The 19,311-nt window shown below is 54.5% G+C and overlaps 1 protein-coding gene across 6 annotated transcripts in view, besides 2 other annotated features; it reads left to right on the forward strand.

The window, feature by feature from the left end:
* CUX1 (cut like homeobox 1) overlaps window positions 1–19,311 on the forward strand; it is a 467,952-nt gene that overhangs the window by 442,954 nt on the left and 5,687 nt on the right. For all 6 annotated transcript variants that reach the window (NM_001913.5, NM_181500.4, NM_001202545.3 and 3 more), the window contains 4 exons: window positions 14,406–14,533; window positions 15,284–15,350; window positions 16,287–16,399; window positions 18,989–19,105. In NM_001913.5, the coding sequence (NP_001904.2) occupies window positions 14,406–14,533; window positions 15,284–15,350; window positions 16,287–16,399; window positions 18,989–19,105 (425 nt within the window). The remainder of the gene's footprint in view (window positions 1–14,405; window positions 14,534–15,283; window positions 15,351–16,286; window positions 16,400–18,988; window positions 19,106–19,311) is intronic.
* Window positions 8,956–9,113: a silencer, noted in NCBI's record as "fragment chr7:101911196-101911353 (GRCh37/hg19 assembly coordinates)". NCBI's record gives its function as "represses an EF-1alpha promoter that drives an FKBP-Casp9 reporter gene in an ReSE screen in K562 erythroleukemia cells {active_cell/tissue: K562}" and the evidence as "EXISTENCE:reporter gene assay evidence [ECO:0000049][PMID:32094911]".
* Window positions 15,174–16,007: an enhancer, noted in NCBI's record as "H3K4me1 hESC enhancer chr7:101917405-101918238 (GRCh37/hg19 assembly coordinates)". NCBI's record gives its function as "activates a minimal SCP1, AML or CMV promoter by ChIP-STARR-seq in primed H9 embryonic stem cells {active_cell/tissue: H9 hESC(primed)}" and the evidence as "EXISTENCE:reporter gene assay evidence [ECO:0000049][PMID:30033119]".

A 19,311-nucleotide genomic window follows, 5' to 3' on the forward strand; every position in this document is an offset into this window, starting at 1 on the left:
GACTCAGAGGCTGTTGCTCGTCTTGGGTTGGAAAAGAGCTGTCTGCCAGGCCGACGTGTGTCTGGTGGAAGTGGGGGATGACTTGGTCGCATATTAATTTGGAGATTTCAGATTGTGAAATGTCCACATGTGATACAGAATCGTAAGCCCCTCTCCCAATTCAACTGGATTCAATCCTCCCTCCAGTGGGAGAACCCAGAGTATGGGATGGAGACACCCCCCAGTGCCAGGTGCCCTCGGCAGCCCCGTGTCTGATGCAGTCACTTAGGGCCGGGGGTGTCTCTAGAGTTGCCCAAAATGCTGGTCCCCTCAGATAGGAGAGGCCTGCATAAAACCCTAAGAGCTGGCCCAGCGCAGTGGCTCACGCCTGTAATCCCAGCACTTTGGGAGGCCGAGGCCGGTGGATCACTTGAGGTCAGGAGTTCAAGACCAGCCTGGCCAACATGGTGAAACCCCGTCTCTACTAAAAATACAAAAATTAACCAGGCATGGTGGCGGGTGCCTGTAATCCCAGCTACTTGGGAGGCTGAGGCAGGAGAATTGCTTGAACCTGGGAGGCAGAGGTTACGGTGAGCCGAGATTGTGCCACTGCACTCCGGCCTGGGCGATAGAGCGAAACTCAGTCTCAATAAAACAAACAAACAAAAAAATAACCCTAAGAACTCTGCCAGTTTGGTATTTGACAGACTGAAGTCTAACGTGGTTAATTTTTCTGTTTGCTAGTTTAGGTATGCCCCTATGTATTTCATGATCTGCTAACTAAATTAAAATAAGAAATGTTAAAAAAAAAAAAAAAAGAAAGAAAAGAGAAAGGAAGGAAGGAAAGGAAGGAAGAAAGAACAGTTGGGCACAGTGGCTCATTCCTGTAACTCCTATAGGCCCAGCACTTTGGGAGGAGGTCAAGGCAGGAGGATGGCTTGAGCCCAGGAGTTTGAGACCAGCCTGGGCAACATAGTGAGACCCCATCTCTACAAAAAATAAAAAATTAGTTGGGCATGGTGGCATGTGCCTGTAGTCCTAGCTACTCTGGAGGCTGAGGTGGGAGGATCACTTCTGCCCAGGAGTTCAACGCTGCAGTGAGCTATGATGGCACCACTGCACTCCAGCCTGGGCAACACAGCAAGACCCTAAATCTTGGGGGGAAAAAAAAAAAAAGGAACACTTAGCTCAAAGTCTTTTTCCTCAGAAAGTTGAGACAGGATCTCAGTCTGTCACCACCTCCTCCTCCCAGGCTTAAGCAACCCTCCCATCTCAGCCTCCCAAGTAGCTGGGACCACAGGTGTGCACCACCACGCCTGGCTAATTTTTTGCAGAGAAGGGGTTTCACCATGTTGCCCAGGCTGGTCTCGAACTCCTGAGCTCAGAAGATCCACCCACCTGGTTCTCCCAAAGTGCTGGGATTACAGGCGTGAGCCACCGCGCCCGGCCCCTTATTTGTTATTTGTTTCGTTTCGTTTTGTTTTTAAGATGGAGTCTGGCTCTGTCACCCAGGCTGGAGTGCAATGGTACAATCTCGGCTCGCTGCAACCTCCACCGCCTGGGTTCAGGCGATTCTCCTGCCTCCGCCTCCCAAGTAGCTGGGATTATAGGTGCCCGCCACCACACCTGGCTTTTTTTTTTTTTTTTTTTTTTTTTGTATTTTTAGTAGAGATGGGGTTTCACCATGTTGGCCAGGCTGATCTCGAACTCCTGACTTCAAGTGATCTGCCTGCCTCAGCCTCCCAAAGTGCTGGGATTACAGGCGTGAGCCACCATACCCAGCCGCGTTCCTTATTTGATGCTCTGAAGAAACACAATTGCAGGTAGACAGGGTGGCGCGACGTGATGATGAGATATATTAGAGCACTTGAATTGTCTGCAATGGTCCTGTGTGCTTCTGTTACAAAGCCCCTCTGAGTGGCTGCCTGGGGGCATGCTGCTCCTCTCCACGGTCTTAACATGCCAGCTTTGGGGGCACACAGCTTGCTGGTGTCTACTTCAGCTCATCACTGATTCCTGTGAGGTGGCAGAGGCCTGGGCCTGCATGTACGGACCCAACCAGGGAACTGGGAGGGCTCCACAGAGCTACCGTGATGTTGCCCAGGCTCCCGGCCAGTGGGCCGTTGCTTAGCAACCGACTCATGCAGTGTGGAGTGACCGGCCTCCACAGACAGGGGAGACACAGCCTGGGCCCAGCCTTAGGCAGGCATTGCTGAAGTTCCTGTCTTTTCCAAGAAGTTCAGACTCTTAGAATACCAACAGGAAGGGCCCTGGTCGAGCATGGTGGGTCACGCCTATAATCCCAGCACTTTGGGAGGCTGAGGTGGACAGATCACCTGAGGTCAGGAGTTTGAGACCAGCCTGGCCAACATGATGAAACCCCATCTCTACTAAAAATACAAAAATTAGCCAGGCATGATGGCACATGTCTGTAATCCCAGCTACTCAGGAGGCTGAGGCAGGAGAATCACTTGAACCCAGGAGGCGGAGGTTGCAGTGAGCCAAGATTGCGCCACTGCACTCCAGCCTGGGCAACAGAGTGAGACTCTGGCTCAAAAAAATAAAAAATAAATAATACCAATACGAAGAGCCCTTTTTTTTTTTTAAGCAGAATCAAGTATGGATAAGTAATAGCAGAGCTTCCCATTTGGGGCAGTGGTGTGGCCTCCAGGGAGCGGGATTTGAGGACAACCCTCCCATTGTTCAGGGAGGCGTCAGTGTCTCTGTGGTCAGGAGACACTGGCTGTATCAGGATCCCAGCAGCGTCTCTTAGTGGCTGATGACCGTGAGCAAGTCTTAAGTCGATGCTCAGGAAATCTTTGAAAGAATAAATGAGTTTAACTTCCTAGTGCTTCTGTTTCTGTCTCTGTAAAGGGGATATAAAAAGCCAAACTCGGTCGGGCACGATGGCTCACACCTGTAATCCCAAGGCTTTGGGAAGCCAAGGCAGGAGGATCACTTGAGGCCGGGAGTTCAAGACCCACCCTGGGACACATAGCAAGACCCCATCTCTACGAAAATGTTTAAAATTCGCCGGATGTGCTGGCACATGCCTGTAGTCCCAGCTACTTGGGAGGCTGAAGGATCGCTTCAGCCCAGGAGCTCAAGGCTGCAGTGAGCTATAATTGCACCACTGCACTCCGGCCTGGGTGACAGAGTGAGACCCTGTCTCCAGTTGAAAAAATAAGAGGTAGGTGGCTCATGCCTGTAATCCCAGCACTTTGGGAGCCGAGGCGGGTGGATCACGAGTTCAAGAGATTGAGACCATCCTGGCTAACATGGTGAAACCCTGTCTCTACTAAAAAGACAAAAAAATTAGCCAGGCGTGGTGGCAGGCACCTGTAGCCACTCAGGAGGCTGAGGCAGGAGAATCGCTTGAACCCAGGAGGCAGAGGTTGTAGTGAGCCGTGATACCTCCACTGCACTCCAGCCTGGGCGACAAAGCAAGACTCCATCATGGATGGATGGATGGATGGATGGATGGATGGATAACTCACAGGGTTACTGAGAGGACCCAGTGAGAAGACCTGGAAACCACTCACCCAGCACCCAGTGGCAGGGCAGAGCCTGGAAGGATCCAAGTGAGGCCTATGCAGTTACTGGCAGTGGAAGCAGCAGAGGACTGGCTGGCCCTGCCAGGGTCTTGCTGCCCGTGGCCAGGCCCCATCTCCTGGGGTCTTTAGTCTCCTCTAACACACATGGCCTCTGGGTTTGGCTGTGATGGGGTGGGACTGAGCCGTGGTAGATGCTTACATCAGACGGATTGCAAAGAGGGCCAGCTGTGCCCCAGCCTGGGAGACCCTGCAGCTGTGGGAATCCCGGTGCAACTTTCCAACTGAGGAAACAGATGCTTGCCGCGGGGTAGTATCCACTCGCCCGTGAGCTAATACATACCGAAGGCTGACCGTGGGCCGCTGCCTTACACGCTGGGGTTATTACAGGGCAAACCAGGAGCTCACCTTCTTGTGGGAGGGACAGACAGTAGACGTAATAAATAAGTGAATGAGATAGTTGCTTCGAAGGTGATCAATGTTATAAGGAGGATGGGAAGAGCAAGTGAAAAGGGTTAAACTTTTTTTTTTTTTTTTTTTGGAGATGAAGTCTTACTCTGTTGCTCAGGCTGGAGTGCAGTGGCGTGATCTCGGCTCACTGCAACCTCCACCTCCCAGGTTCAGGCGATTCTCCTGCCTCAGCCTCCCAAGTAGCTGGGATTACAGGTGCATGCCACCACGTCCAGCTAATTTTTGTATTTTTAGTAGAGACAGGGGTTTCACCACATTGGCCAGGCTGGTCTCAAACTGCTGATCTCAAGTGATCCACCCGCCTTGGCATCCCAAAGTACTGGGATTACAGGTACGAGCCACCACACCTAGCCTTTTTTTTTTTTTTTTTTTGAGATGGAGTCTCACTGTTGCCCAGGCTAGAGTGCAGTGACACAATTTCAGCTCACTGCAACCTCCTCCTCCCAGGTTCAAGCAGTTCTCCTGCCTCAGCCTCCCAAGTAGCTGGGACTACAGGTGCACACTGCCATGCCCAGCTAATTTTTGTTATTTTTAGTAGAGACAGGAGTTTCATCATGTTGTCCATTCTGGTCTCGAACTCCTGACCTCAGGTGATCTGCCCGCTTCAGCCTCCCATAGTGCTGGGATTACAGATGTGAGCCACTGCGCCCAGCCGAAAGGGGTTAAAGTTTTAAATCGGGTGGTCAGGGTAGGCCTCCCTAAGAAGTTCACTTCTCTGTTTAATTTATTATCTTTTTCTCTTTTTTTTTGAGACAGGGTCTCACTCTGTCACCCAGGCTGGAGTGCAGTGGTGCGATCTCAGCTCACTGCAACCTCCACCTCCGGGGTTCAAGCGATTCTCCTGCCCCAGCCTTCCGAGTAGCTGGAATTACAGGCGTGCATCACCATGCCCGGCTAATTTTTGTATTTTTAGTAGAGACGGGGTTCACCATATTGGCCGGGCTGGTCTCGAACTCCTGGCCTCAAGCGATCTGCCTGCCTCGGCCTCCCAAAGTGCTGGGATTACAGGCATGAGCCACTATTCCCAGACAGAAGTTAACTTCTTTTTTTTTTTTTTTTTTTGAGACGGAGTCTTGCTCTGTCACCCAGGCTAGAGTGCAGTGGCGTGATGTCAGCTCACTGCAACCTCCGCCTCCCAGGTTCAAGTGATTCTCCTGCCTCAGCCTCCCAAGTAGCTGGGATTACAGGCGCCCACCACCGCGCCCGGCTAATTTTTGTATTTTTAGTAGAGACGGGGTTTCACCGTCTTGGCCAGGCTGGTCTCGAACTCCTGACCTCAGGTGATCCACCCGCCTCGGCCTCCCAAAGTGCTGGGATTACAGGCATGAGCCATCGCGCCCAGCCCAGAAGTTAACTTCTAAACAGTACTGGCAGAGCTGAGGGAACGAGCCCTGCAGATGTGAGAAGGAAGGACGTTCTAGGCAGTGAGAACTGCCAGTTCAAAGGTCTCGTGGTGCAAATGTCTCTGGAAACCAGCATGGCCGCAGCACCGTGACCAGGAGGAAGAGTGGGAGGCGATGAGGTCAGAGAGACCAAGGAGAGGCGGAGCATGGGGGCCTTGTCGGCTATTGCTGAGGCTTTGTTTTTTACTCTGAGTCAACTGGGAGGCATTGGACGGTTTGAACAGAGGGTCCTGGCTCTGGTGGGGAAACAGGAAGTAGGATTCATTGGTAGGAGTGAGTAAGGAGGGGTCAGCACAGGGGAAGCCCTCAGAAGCTCACCCAGGAGGCCACAACTGGGGCTGCGTTTAACCCCCACAGCCATGCCAGATGAGCTGCTTCTCAGCCACCACGTGGGATCGATTTCTTCCACATTGAACTTGGTCAAGGCCCGCTGCTTTGTGCTGTGGATCTTCTGGCAGCCAGGGAACTTAGACTTGGCCCTGCATATGGCCTCAATCACACCCTCATGGTTCTGCTCTTAGTACGGATAGACACAATGACCTGGCCAACATAAACCCTGGCTGTCACACCCTGGGGCTTTCCAAGGGCACCCCGAATACTTGCCTGGTGCCTAGACCACAGACAGCACGAGGTCAGAGACACAAATGTCCAGTGGAAAGAATTGTCTCCAACGTTCCTTAGGGCAACCCATGTAAGAAACAGACTGTGTGGCCGGGGGTGGTGGCTCACGCCTATAATCCCAGCACTTTGGGAGGCCAAGGTGGGTGGATCACCTGAGGTCAGGAGTTCAAGACCAGCCTGGCCAACATGAAGAAACCCTGTCTCTACTAAAAATACAAAAATTAGCCGGGCATGGTAGCGGGCGCCTGTAATCCCAGCTACTTGGGAGGCTGAGGCAGGAGAATTGCTTGAACCCCGGAGGCAGAGGTTGCAGTGAGCCGAGATTACACCACTATACTCCAGCCTGGGCAACAAGAGCAAAAATCTGTCTCAAAAAAAAAAAAAGAGAAAGAAAGAAACAGACTGTGTACTTTACTGAGGAGGCTGCTGTTTGCAACCACTGCACCCTACAAGGTCACTATTTTTTTTAAGAGACAGGGTCTCACTCTGTTGCCCAGGCTAGACGGCAGTGGCATAATCATCGCTCACTGCAGCCTTGACCTCCTGGGCTCAAGCAATCCTCCTGCCTCAGCCTCCCAAGTAGCAGGGACAGGCGTGCACCACCACACACGGCTAATATTTTAATTTTTTGTAGCGACAGTCTGGCTATGTTGCCCAGGCTGGTCTCAAACTCCTGGACTCAAGCAATCTTCCTGCCTCAGCCTCCCAAAGTCCTGGGATTACAGGCATGAGACAGTTGCACCCGACCAACTTTTTAAAAGGCTCTCTCTGGCTGCTGCTTGGTGCCCAGATCATAGGTTGCAGAGGGAGGCCAATGAGGAGGCTGATGCCATCATCACAATGAGAGGTGGTCATGACTCGGACTAGGTGGCAGCAGTGGTAAAAAGAGACTGGATTCTGGAGATATTTTGAAAGTAGAGCCAAAAATGAGACTTAAGGCAGGGGCAGTGGCTCACGCCTGTAATCCCAGCACTTTGGGAGGCCGAGGTGGGTGGGTCACTTCAAGCCAGGAGTTTAAGACCAGCCTGACCAACATGGTGAAACCCTGTCTCTACTAAAAATACAAAAATTAGCCAGGCGTGGTGGTTCATGCTTGTAGTCCCAGCTGCTCGGGAGGCTGAGGCAGGAGAATCTCTTGAACCCAAGAGGTGGAGGTTGCAGTGAGTTGAGATCATGCCACTGCACTCTAGCCTGGGTGACAGAGTGAGACTCCGTTTCAAAAAAAAAAAAAAAAAGAGAGAGAGAGAGACTTAAGACAGATTCAGCATCAGGAGTGATGGAGAGGAGTGAGGCTACCTCCCGGGGTTTGGTCTGAGCCACCGAAGGGTCGCAGAGAGCTGGGTCAGGCCGGGAAGGGGGTCTCTGCCTATCCCTGCAGATGTCACCTCCCGAGGCTGGACTACAGGGGTCCACACTTGGGCTTGGGGAGTACAGACTTGGGGAGGAAGGGATCAGGCTGAAATTCAGACCTGTGAAGGTTGAAATGCCAGTAGAAGATCAAGTAGAAGATAAATCCAAGGAGAGGCGTGGACTGGAGTCCCACACTGGGGAGGCATCGGCTTGTCAATGGCATCCCGCATGGCCAGAGCGGATGAGGGGGCAGAGTGAGGCATCTGCGGATGGTCCCTGTGCAGCAGCGGCAAGAAGCTTAGCAGGGAGGGCAAGGACCAGTCAAGGAAACAGGGCAGAGCAGCCAGCCGGGGAAGGAGGCCCAGGAGGGTCGGTGACCTGGAAACTAGCTGCTAACACAGCAGCTCAGATGAGAGCCGAAAAACAAGGACGTGGCAATGTGCGGAGGTCATTAGGGACCTTGGCAAGGACAGTCAGCGTGAGGGGTGGCAGAGTCTGATGGGAAGGGCTTGAGGAATTGGAGGAGCGGAATTAGACGCTTGAGAAGAGACAGCTTCTTCAAGGAGTTTTGCCAGAGTGGGGTCAAGGGAAGGGGCGTGTGTGCATGTGTACATGCCTGCTAGGAGAACATGCTTGCATGCATGTAGAAGGCAAGAGCCGGTGCTGCAGGAGAGGGTGGCATTGCTGGAGACCCCATTGCATAGGGGTGGGGGCCAGCACCTGCAGGCATGGGGAGCCGGCTGGGGGGGCTCAGTGGTCACCTGAGGCTACCTGCAGGATCTACAGGTGCAGAGGCAGGGAGGGGTGGATGAGGCAGCAGCTTGGCCCCCTCAGTGTCCTCCTAGCAGAGATACCATGTGCACCGAGCGTCTCCACCATTCCTACCTGGCCTGCAAGTGATTTAATAAGACAGGGGCAGCCGGGCATGTGGCTCATGCCTGTAATCCCAGCACTTTGGGAGGCTGAGGTGGGTGGATCACCTCAGGTCAGGAGTTCGAGACCAGCCTGGCCAACGTGACGAAACTCTGTCTCCACTAAAAATACAAAAATTAGCCAGGCATGGTGGTGCATGCCTGTAATCCCAGCTGCTTGAGAGGCTGAGGCAGGAGAATCACTTGAACCTGGGAGAGAGAGGTTGCAGAGAGCCGAGATCATACCATTGCACTCTAGCCTGGGTGACGAGTGAAACTCCGTCTCAAAAGAAATAAAAAATAAAAAGACAGGGGCCCCTCGCGCCTTCAGGAAAACCGTAGGTACAACACCGCTGGCCTCGCTATGATAAGTCTCTGCATTTAATCCTTCTGCAGTCAGAAATCATGCCTAGACTTTTTTTGGGCGTGGTGCAGAGAGGGACAGGGTCTTGCTCTGTCACCCAGCCTGGAGTGCAGTGGTGCAATCGTAGCTCTCTGCAGCCTGGAACTCCTGGACTCAAGCGATCCTCCCGCCTTAGCCTCCTGAGTAGCTGGGACCACAGGTGCACACCACCATGCCCGGCTAAGTTTTGTATTTTTCTGTAGAGATGACGTTTTGCCATGTTGCCCGTGCTGGTCTCAAACACCTGAGCTCCAGCGATGCTACCACCTCTGCCTCCCAAAGTGCTGTATTCCAGCCGTGAGCCACTGCACCGGGCCCTCCTGAAGTCTTGACCTTAAAGATGCTTTGATTCCCTCCTCCCCTCTGTGAGGTGCCCCCTCTAGGATGTCTTTGTGGGTTCTCCCAGAGGATGAGGTCCCAGTCTTTCCTGAGGGGAAGGGGACCGTCTTGGGCCCTTGCACCACAGACTCCTTTTCTGAGCCCCTTTCCCTGTCTTATGCTCACTTATCCACCCGTCGCCTGTCATCCCTCTCTCCCCTAAACAAAATCTGTCCCTCTCTCCTGGGTTTCTGGGTTGCAGATGGTCCATTCCACACACTCTATGCTTCTCAAGATCCCCTCTCGGGCACACGTTACTGCTCTTCCACCAGTTCTGCCCATCGGGCTGTGCCTTGCAGCCCTGCATGCCCCCACCACCTCGACGACAACACCTTCGCCTCGCTCAGCCTCTCTGTAGCTTCTGACCCCCTGACCCTCCATATTCATTGACCCTCCTGCCTCATCTTGGTGCCTTCACATGCATCCTCCTGCTGTCTCCCCTGCCTCCTGCTGCCTCTTCTCAGGGTCTTTGCGGGACCCCCTTTGTGGATCACCCCCTGAAGCTCTGGCCACCTCACAGCAGCACTGTCTCAGGACCTGTCCACCACCCCTGATTTTCTGTATTAGCTGTTCTTGCATTGCTATAGAGAAATACCTGAGGCTGTGTAATTTATCAAGAAAAGGGGTTTCTTTGGCTCATGGTTCTGCAGGCTGTACCAGAAGCGTGGCGCTGGTGTCGGTTTGGCTTCTGGGGAGGCGTTGGAGGCTTTACTCATGGTGGAAGGCGAAGTGGGAGCAGGTGTGAGACATGGCGAGGCCAGGAGGAAGAGAGAGAGAATGGGGGTGGGGGAGGTGCCACGCTCCTTAAACAACCAGATCCCTATCTCAGAGACAGCACCGCGCCACAAGGGACCCGCCCTGTCCCCCAAACACCTCCCACCAGGCCCCACTTCCAACACTGGGGATTAATTACTTTTTTTTTTTTTTGAGACAGGGTCTTACTCTGTCACCCAAGCAAGAGTGCAGTGGTGTGATCACAGCTCACTGCAACCTCTGCCTCCTGGGCTCAGGTGATCCTCCCATCTCAGCCTCCCTAGTAGCTGGGACTACAGCTACACCACCACACCCAGCTAATTTTTTGTGTGGGTTTTTTTGTTTGTTTGTTTGTTTGTTTGTTTGTTTGTTTGTGTAGAGACAGGGTTTTTCCATGTTACCCAGGCTGGTCTCGAATTCCTGGGCTCCAGTGATCCTCCCTCCTCAGCCTCCCAAAGTGCTGGAATTATAGGCAAGAGCCACTGCACCTGGCTTGATTACATTTCAACATGAGATGTGGACAGGGATGAATATCCAAACTATATAATTCCACCCCTGCCCCCTCACGCAAATCTCATGTCCTTCTCACATTGCAAAATACAATCATGCCTTTCCAACAGTACCCCAAAGTCTTTTTTTTTTTAGATGGAGTTTCACTCTTGTTGCCCAGGGTGGAGTACAATGGTGCCATCTCAGCTCACTGTAACCTCCGCCTCCCAGGTTCAAGCCATTCTCCTGCCTCAGCCTCCCAAATAGCTGGGATTACAGGGGTCCGCCACCATGCCCGGCTAATTTTTTTTTTTTTTTTTTTTTTTGTATTTTTAGTAGAGACGAGTTTTCGCCATGTTGGCCAGGCTGGTCTCAAACTCCTGACCTCAGGTGATCTGCCCGCCTCGGCCTCTCAAAGTGCTGGGATTACAGGCGTGAGCCACCACGCCCACCCCCACAGTCTTAACTCATTACAGCATTTTGGTCACAACCATCGAACAAGTCTCTAAGAAGTTCCAAACTTTCCCTCATCTTACTGTCTTCTTCCATGCCCCCCCCAAACGCTTCCAAGCTCTGACCGTTGGGGCCCTAGATCTCCTCAACCAGCATATCCAGCCTCAGGTCCACAGGTCCAAACCCCACCACACACATGCCCTTAGCTGTTCACAAGCACCTTCGTGCTTACCAGAACCGAGCCAGCCAGCTGCCCACCCCTTCCCCCACAGGGGGCCAGGCCCGGGCCTCCCCACCTGGGTTCTGTACAGCGATGGGGTCCACAGCTCTCTCTCCAGCTCCTTCTGTGTCCTCGCCCCAGAGCCCTGTACTCCAGAGGTTGAAGAACTTGCCGAAGATCGTGAAATTCATAAAAGGCAGGGCCAGAATGCAAGCCCGGTTCTGGACTTGACATCAAGTGGCCACCAGAGATGTCACCCCAGCTTCCCCACCTGCGTGTTCCAGCCTCCAGCAGAGAAGGCAGGGTGAGGCAGCCGGTGGGGGATAGGGGACCCTCCCGTGGCCGGTGAGGCCCTGTCCTTCTCTAAGTACATCTAACTGAGGCCCCTCTCTGGTGGAAGCCCGCACAGCCAGTCTCCTGGCCTTCGCTTCCTCCCAGCGTGGAGTGACAGTTTCAAAGCACAGCTCTGGTTGCTGCTGGGATCCAGCTGGGCTCTGGGACAGTGTCCAGATCCTGTCCCCTGCAGCCTCCAGTTCTCTGTCCACCCCCCTCTACCCACAGCCTTCCCTCCAGTCTCACCGTCTGCCAGCCTCTGCTGCCCTGTCTTACCCAGCCTGTTCTCTCTGCCTCACCAGCAGCCATCCCCCAATTCTGCTGCCCGTGCAACTGGCCTGTGCTCCTATCACCCCAAGCCACCTCTTCAGGGATGGCCTCCCCCAACCACTCAGCCCTGCACCCTCAGATCCCCTCAGGAGCTAACCCAGTGCCCAGAGCATCTGCAGCAGCGCCAATGGCCAGGCCTCCAGGCCAGCTTAACACATGGGCCTTTTCCAGGATAGCGGGCCACCAGCTGGGAACCGGGGCAGCCTAGGATAGAGGGTTTGCAGCCAGGATGCTCACACCTGCACAGAATGTCACCTACATACACGGCAGGACTGTGTGCCCACCCCTGCAGTAGCAGACACAGGAACAAGTGCACGGGGACCAGGCCCACGCACCCCATCATCTCCCTGGTGCCCACGGATGGTGCTGGGAGCTGCAAGTTGCTGCCACCCCAGGGACCTGACCAAGACCACACTGGGGTGGTCACAGACTGGGGGCAGATAAAACAGGCAGTGCAAGGAATCATCTCAGCAGCTTTTTATCCACCCCTCTTGCCAGGCGCACACCTCCAGGGAAAAGGGCTCACTCTGGCCAGGCAAAAGTCACCTCTGCAAAGGTTCTCCATCTCAGCCCTGTCTCTCTGTCCCCCAGGCCCTCATCCCTGAGGTGGAATGTGGCTTCCCTGAGCCTTGTTGGAGCTTAACGCCCTCTTTTTATCCCAGGAGTCTGTCCCCATGGTCCCAGCACGGTTCTTGGATGTGCTCCTGTTTGTGGCCAAACTGAAGCATCCCCTCCCTTGGTCCAGGACCTTCACCTCTATTAATGTGACCCAAGGCCCCATTAGCTTTCTGGTGGTTTCCTCTCCCTACATCTCACAACCGCTGTCCACCTCCCATCCTAAGCATGTGTGGCCGGCTCTGCCATCCCATCCCACAGGCCAGGACCCAAGGACTCTGTACTCAGGCCAGGAGGGCATGGTATTTATCGTCTCTCTGGACCTCTCCCCTTTGGGGTCTCCTTAAAGTCCCTGCAGGTGGCCCAGGGCCAGCCCCAACCCTGCCCCCGACAGTCCTCCCTCCAAGGCCGGGTCCTGCCTTCAGGTCCTGCCTCTTCCCTCATCCCCTCCTCACTTCCGCAGATACCACCTTCCTGCCAGGGACCCAGGGGCTCAGTGAATGTCTGAAGGAAGAAATCCATTTAGGGGCCCAGTGCGGTGGCTCACGCCTGTAATCCCAGCACATTGGGAGGTTGAGGCGGACAGATCACTTGAGGTTGAGACCAACCTGGACAACATTGCTAAACCCCGTCTCTACTAAAAATACAAAAATTAACTGGGCACGGTGGCAGGCGCCTGTAATCCCAGCTACTCAGGAGGTTGAGGCAGGAAAATTGCTTGAACCTTGGAGGCGGAGGTTGCAGTGAGCCGAGATGGAGCCACTGCACTCCAGCCTGGGTGACTGAGTGAGACTCTGTCTCAATAAAATAAAATAAAATAAATCCATTCGGGGCCTGAACGAGGCGAGACTCTGGTGTGAGCAAGGGCTTAGACAGAGCTGGGGGTGGATGCCTTGGGTTTGGTCCCAGGTCGGGAAGCCTCCGTTCTTTGACTGTAAAATGTGAATCGTCTTTTCTGACTCATCTATAAGGACTTGGTGTGCAGTGGGAACCCAGGAGCATGTGGGGGTGAGGCTGGGCTGCCCCATCCTGGCCCAGGACACTAAGCCCAGCCAGGGCAGGTATGACAGCCGGTCAGCAGGCCGCGCAGTCAGGGATGAGTCCACGGAGGAGGCCGCACATACCATTTCCCTGGCACTGCCCACAGCCTGCAGCCTTTGTGCATTTCTGAGGCCACAGTGCCCCCTGGCGGCTGTGCAGCCTACCCCAAAGGACAGCGTCCTGGGTCTCAGGCCTCAGTCTCCCTCTCTGCGGCCCCAACAGCTCACCCTAAACAAGGTTTATTGTTACCATGTTACATGTCACCATTTGGGACCAGAAAGGGGGATCCAGTGGCCCTGAGCCGCACAGTCAACCAGAAACAGGGCCAAACCTCACCCTCAGGGCTGCCTGGCTCCTGGGTCACTGAAGTCCTGCCTGGCAATGCGTGCTTGGGTCTGGGTCCCTTCCCCGACATCTCTCACCCTCCTGCAGGGCAGGAAAGTCACAGTTTGGATGCTTTGTTATAAAGATGACCCTGGCACCTGGAGGAGGGAGAGACAGACAGGGCTGTGGGTCGGGGGACTCCTTGGGGACCACGCCACCCCAACCACTGCAGCTGGAGCCTCTGTTGGGGGCGGGACCAAGCACCTCTGTTGTCAGCCCAGAGGTGGCACCCCTACGCGCCCCACTGCACCCCCGCGGCTTTCTCTGCCTCTCCTACCCCCAGGCTTCCCACTGGACATTATCCCAGAACATCAGCTAGGAAGCAACCTGAGCCTCCTTGCCCCTGCCTGACAAGCAAAGTGAGGCCCAGAGAGGGAAAGGGGCTGGCCAGGGCCCCCCAAACAGCCGTGGGCAGAGCCACATTGCACCGGTTTCTCCTAATCCCTGACCTGAGCTCCTTCTCCTACCCAGGGGATTTCATCAATCCAGAGAGTGCTTGGGGCCAGGAGTGCCTCTGACAGTCAGGGAGGGCTTCCTGGAGGAGGCCCTAGGTCTAATGGGGTCTTCTAGGCAGTGGTGAGTTGGGAGGGAATAGCCAGCACTCTCACAGCATCCAGGCAGCCCTGCTTCCAGACCGTGGGTTGGAGAGGCAGAACCAGGGGAGGGCACCAAGGGTCCCACCAGGCTCCCTCTGACGGCCATGTCTTCCTTTGGCCACAGGACGCTGTGCGGAGCTGCAAGTCCGTATCACTGAGGCTGTGGCCACAGCCACTGAGCAGAGAGAGCTGATCGCCCGCCTGGAGCAGGACCTGAGCATCATTCAGTCCATCCAGCGGCCCGATGCCGAGGTGAGCCCACCCCCCTGCCCCATGCCCATCTCGATACCTGCCCAACTGACTTAGCCTCTGCAAACACTGACTTCCCAGATTAGCCTGTGTATCAGGCAGCTGGTGACAACCCAGAAGGGCTGTCACCTAAAACCATTGGGTTCTCCCTGCTTACTCCATGAATACCACCCTGCCTCCGATTTGGGGTGACAGGCCATGGGGCAGAGGCCACAGGGCTTCCTAGCGGTAGCACAGAGGCCCGTCTTTCCAGGCACTGCCCTGAGAGCAGAGGCAGAGGCAAGGCCAGGACCATGCACCCATCTCCCAGCTAAAGGACCTGGAGCCCAGAGATCACAGCAGGCTGGGACATAAACAGCCCAGGGAGAGCATCTCCTCGCCCACCTCCCATTCTGTAGAGTCCACAGTGGGACTCCGGGAGAGAAGTCTGGGCTGTCCCAGGTCACGTGGCAGGCTGGTTGCAGGGCCAGGGAGGCCCAGGTGTCTGATGCATGTCAAAGCTGAGTGGCTGCGAGGAGAGCTGCACTGCTGCTGAACTCTGGCCTCAGGAGTGACTCAGGGCCCAGCCATCTCTTCTTTGGTAGCTCATGTCACGTGTCCAGGTCCGGGCCCTCCTGCAGCCAGCCTGCACCCCGGATGGCCCCACCCACTCCTTGCCACACCCACCCTGCCATTTGCCTTGGCCATGCTGAAAGGGAATATTCCGTGCCCATTGTGCGGAGGCACCTCCTCATCGCTTCCTGTCACCTGCAGGGTGCCGCTGAGCACCGCCTGGAGAAGATCCCAGAGCCCATCAAAGAGGCCACTGCCCTATTCTACGGTAAGGAGAGGCCTGACCCATGGGAGGAGGGAGGAGGAGGGAAGAGGAGACAGGTGATACCGCCTGAGAACACAGATCCCCAAAGAGTAGTCCCTTCCTCTAAGAAGGTCAGGCCCCCACGCCTGCAATGCAGCAGCAACCTTCAAAGGGTCGGGTAAGGCTAGGTGTGGTGGCGCACACCTATAGTCCCGGCTACTTTGGAGGCCGAGGTGGGAGGATCGCCTGAGCCCAGGAATTGGAGGCTGCAGTGAGCTATGATGGTGCCACTGCACTCCAGCCTGGGCGACAGACCGAGACCCTGTCTCTAAAAAACAAAAAGGTGAATGAGCCCTCAACCTGCCTTTCTGGATCTTAGACTGACACCCCCCACCTTGGGGCCCTGACCCTTCAGCCCTGCCGGTGGCCTGTGAAAGGCTGGTGAGTGGTGGTCAGCCAGGCCTCACTGCCAAAGTGCAGCCGGAGGTCCGTGCAGTGAGGGGAAGGCAGCCTCCTTGGGTATTGAGGACAGAAACTGAGGCTGCTGGACTGGGATACTGGGGGTGTGCCCATGCCTCCCCAGTTCCCCTCCTGCCCCTTTGCTTCCCCAGGGGATATAGGCCTAGTCTGACAGCTGCAAGGGTCTCAGATTCAAGGACAGAGTGACTGGGAGGGGAGTTCTGGGCCTGGCCCTCTGACAGCGCAGACGGGGGTGCTGGGCCCTTCCCCAGCGTGCGTATTGTCAGGTCAGCCCCTGCCATCCATTCTCACGCTCCCCGGTTCCCCTGGCTGTCCCCTCCCCTTCCCCGACCTGCCCAGCACCAGGGAGTCAGACACCATGTGGCTTCTACCCCATGGCATTTGGCAGAAATCCCCCAGGGCTGGGGGACCCACCCCAAAGGGCCGCCTGCTGGGTTCCACCTCCTGCCACCCCCCAAGCCACCCTCCTCTACCTGCTAGGACCTGCAGCACCAGCCAGCGGTGCCCTCCCAGAGGGCCAGGTGGATTCACTGCTTTCCATCATCTCCAGCCAGAGGGAGCGCTTCCGTGCCCGGAACCAGGAGCTTGAGGCCGTGAGTCACATCCTTCTCTCCCTGATGCTCCTTGGGCCCAAGGACACAGTTGGGGAACACACAGGCTTTCAGGAGAGAGATGTGGCACAGACCGTAAACCTCAGGGGGAAGAGATTTGTTCTGTGCAGTCAGGGAGGGCTTCCTGGAGGAGGTCATGCCACACTGGGCTTTGAAAGAAGACTCAGATGCTCACAGTAGAGGAGACACGGGGGCCAGTGAGCCAGAAGGGAGCATAGATCATTCCAGGTGAAACAAGTCGCCAGGCAAGTGCCCTCTTGCCAGGCTGGGAGGCGTGGCCTTCAATCTGCAGGGAGGGGCACCAAGGAAGGATTTAAGCCAGGCAGTGGCACTGCAAGAATGCAGGGTGAGCCAGGTGCGGTGGCTCACACCTGTAATCCCAACACTTTGGGAGGCTGAGGCAAGTGGATCACTTGAGGTTGGGAGTTTGAGACCAGCCTGGCCAACATGGTGAAACCCCGTCTCTACTAAAAATACAAAAATTAGCCGGGCATGGTGGCGGGCACCTGTAGTCCCAGCTACTTGGGAGGCTGAGGCAGGAGGATCGCTTGAACCTGGGAGGTAGAGGTTGCAGTGAGCTGATGAGATCGTGCCACTGCACTCCAGCCTGTGTGACAGAGCAAGACTCCATCTCAAAAAAAAAAAAAAATCCTTCCTTTTTAAGGCTGTATAATATTTTATTGTGCATATAGACCACATTTTGTTTATCCATTCACCTATTCATTTACATTGCTTCCACCTTTTGGCTGTGGCGGATAATTCTGCTGTGAACATGGGTGTATAAATATCTCTCCAAGTCTCTGCCTTCAATTCTTTTGGGTATCTACCCAGAAGTGGAATTACTAGATCCTATGGTAATTCTATGTTTAACGTTTTTAGAGGAAGCGTCATACTGCCATATACTTTTTTGTACTGCTCAAGTTTTGGTTGTGTTTGTTTTTTGAGACCGAGTCCCGCTCTCTTGCCCAGGCTGGAGTGCAGTGGCACAATCCTGGCTCACTGCAACCTCCACCTCCTGGGTTCAAGCGATTCTTCTGCCTCAGCCTCCCGGATAGCTGAGATTACAGGCGTCTGCCATCACACCCAGCTAATTTTTGTATTTTTAGTAGAGACAGGATTTCTCCATATTGGCCAGGCTGGTCTCGAACTCCTGACCTCAGGTGATCTGCCCACCTCAGCCTCCTAAAGTGCTGGGATTACAGGCGTGAGCCACCGCGCTGGCCACTGCTTGAATTTTGAATAGTGTGAAAGAAACACTTATTCAAGCATTTGAATAAATTGAAAACTGAGATTCCATTTCACGTTGCCTTTAGATTGGCAAATATTAAAACCACAGCGTGTGATTCCATGAATACGAACATTCGGTATAGGCAAATCCATAGAGACAAAAAAGAGACTGCCGGTTACCAGGCAGTAGGGGAGGAGGGAATGGGGAGTGACTGCTGGCAGGTTTGGGGTTTCTTATTGGGGTGATTTTAAATGTTCTGGAATTAGGTAGTGGGGATGGTTGCATAACATTGTGAATACAAATGACCGAACTGTACACTTTGAAATGCTGATGTTTATGTTATGGGTATTATATCTCAATAATAGTTTTTAAAAGGCTAATACCAATGACAAAAAAAAGTATGAAGAAATCTGACCAGGCATCGTGGCTCATGCCTGTAATCCCAGCACATTGGGAGGCCGAAGTGGGAAGATTGCTTGAGCCCAGGAGTTTGAGACCAGCCTGGGCAACGCAGTGAGACCCCGACTCTGCAAAAATAAAAAAGTAGCTGGGCATGGTGGTGTGAGCCTATAGTCCCAGCTACCTGGGAGGCTGAGATGGGAGGATCGCTTGAGTCGGGAGGCTGAGGCTGCAGTGAGCTCTGGTCATGCCACTTTATTCTAGCCTGGGTGATAGAGCAAGACCCTGTCTCTAAAATATATAGACAGGGGCCAGGCGCAGCAGCTCACGCCTATAATCCCAACACTTTGGGAGGCAGAGATGGGTGGATCACCTGAGATCAGGAGTTCGAGACCAGCCTGAACAAAATGGTAAAACCCTGTCTTTACTAAATACAAAAAAACTAGCCAGGCATGGTGGCACATGCCTGTAATCCCAGCTACTTGGGAGGCTGAGGCAGGAGAATCGCTTGAACCCGGGAGGCAGAGGTTGCAGTGAGCCGAGATTGATTGCGTCGTTGCACTCCAGCCTGGGCAACAAGAGCGAAACTCCATATCAAAAAAATAATAAAAATAAAAATAAAAAATAAAATAAAATATATAGACAGGGTCTTGCTCTGTCATATATTAAGGTTGATGCAAATGTAATCATGGTGTTTGCCATTACTTTTAAGGGCAAAAACCACGATTACATTTGCACCAACGTGATACATATGAAGAAACCTGACCCAAGATCCCTGACTTCTGCCTGTGGTGGGGCCACAGTGGGGGAAGGGGCAGCTTTACAGAGTCAGGCAGGTCAAGGAGAAGGCTGTGGGCACAGAAGGGGCTCCAGGTAGACGGAGCAGCACCTGTGCCAGCACGGAGGCCTCTCCCCCACCCCTTTCCTTGCCCCTCCCCCCCCAGGAGAACCGCCTGGCCCAGCACACCCTCCAGGCCCTGCAGAGTGAGCTGGACAGCCTGCGCGCCGACAACATCAAGCTCTTTGAGAAGATCAAGTTCCTGCAGAGCTACCCTGGCCGGGTGAGGGCCCTCCCCTGGCCTCAGCTCCAGGTGGACCAGGCAGGGAGAGAGGCCGATCAGGGCTCTGGAGATGGGAGGGTCGGGGACCAAGACCTGCTGGGCAGCACTGGGCCCCAGAGACCCCTGAGGCCTTCCGACATCTCCCCACCCACCCACCTGCCTGCTAGCTGCCCTCCCTAAGCCGGGAGAAGCTCACAGAGTGGAGC

Source organism: Homo sapiens, chromosome 7, assembly GCF_000001405.40.
Source record: "Homo sapiens chromosome 7, GRCh38.p14 Primary Assembly".
NCBI classification, from domain to species: domain Eukaryota; kingdom Metazoa; phylum Chordata; class Mammalia; order Primates; family Hominidae; genus Homo; species Homo sapiens.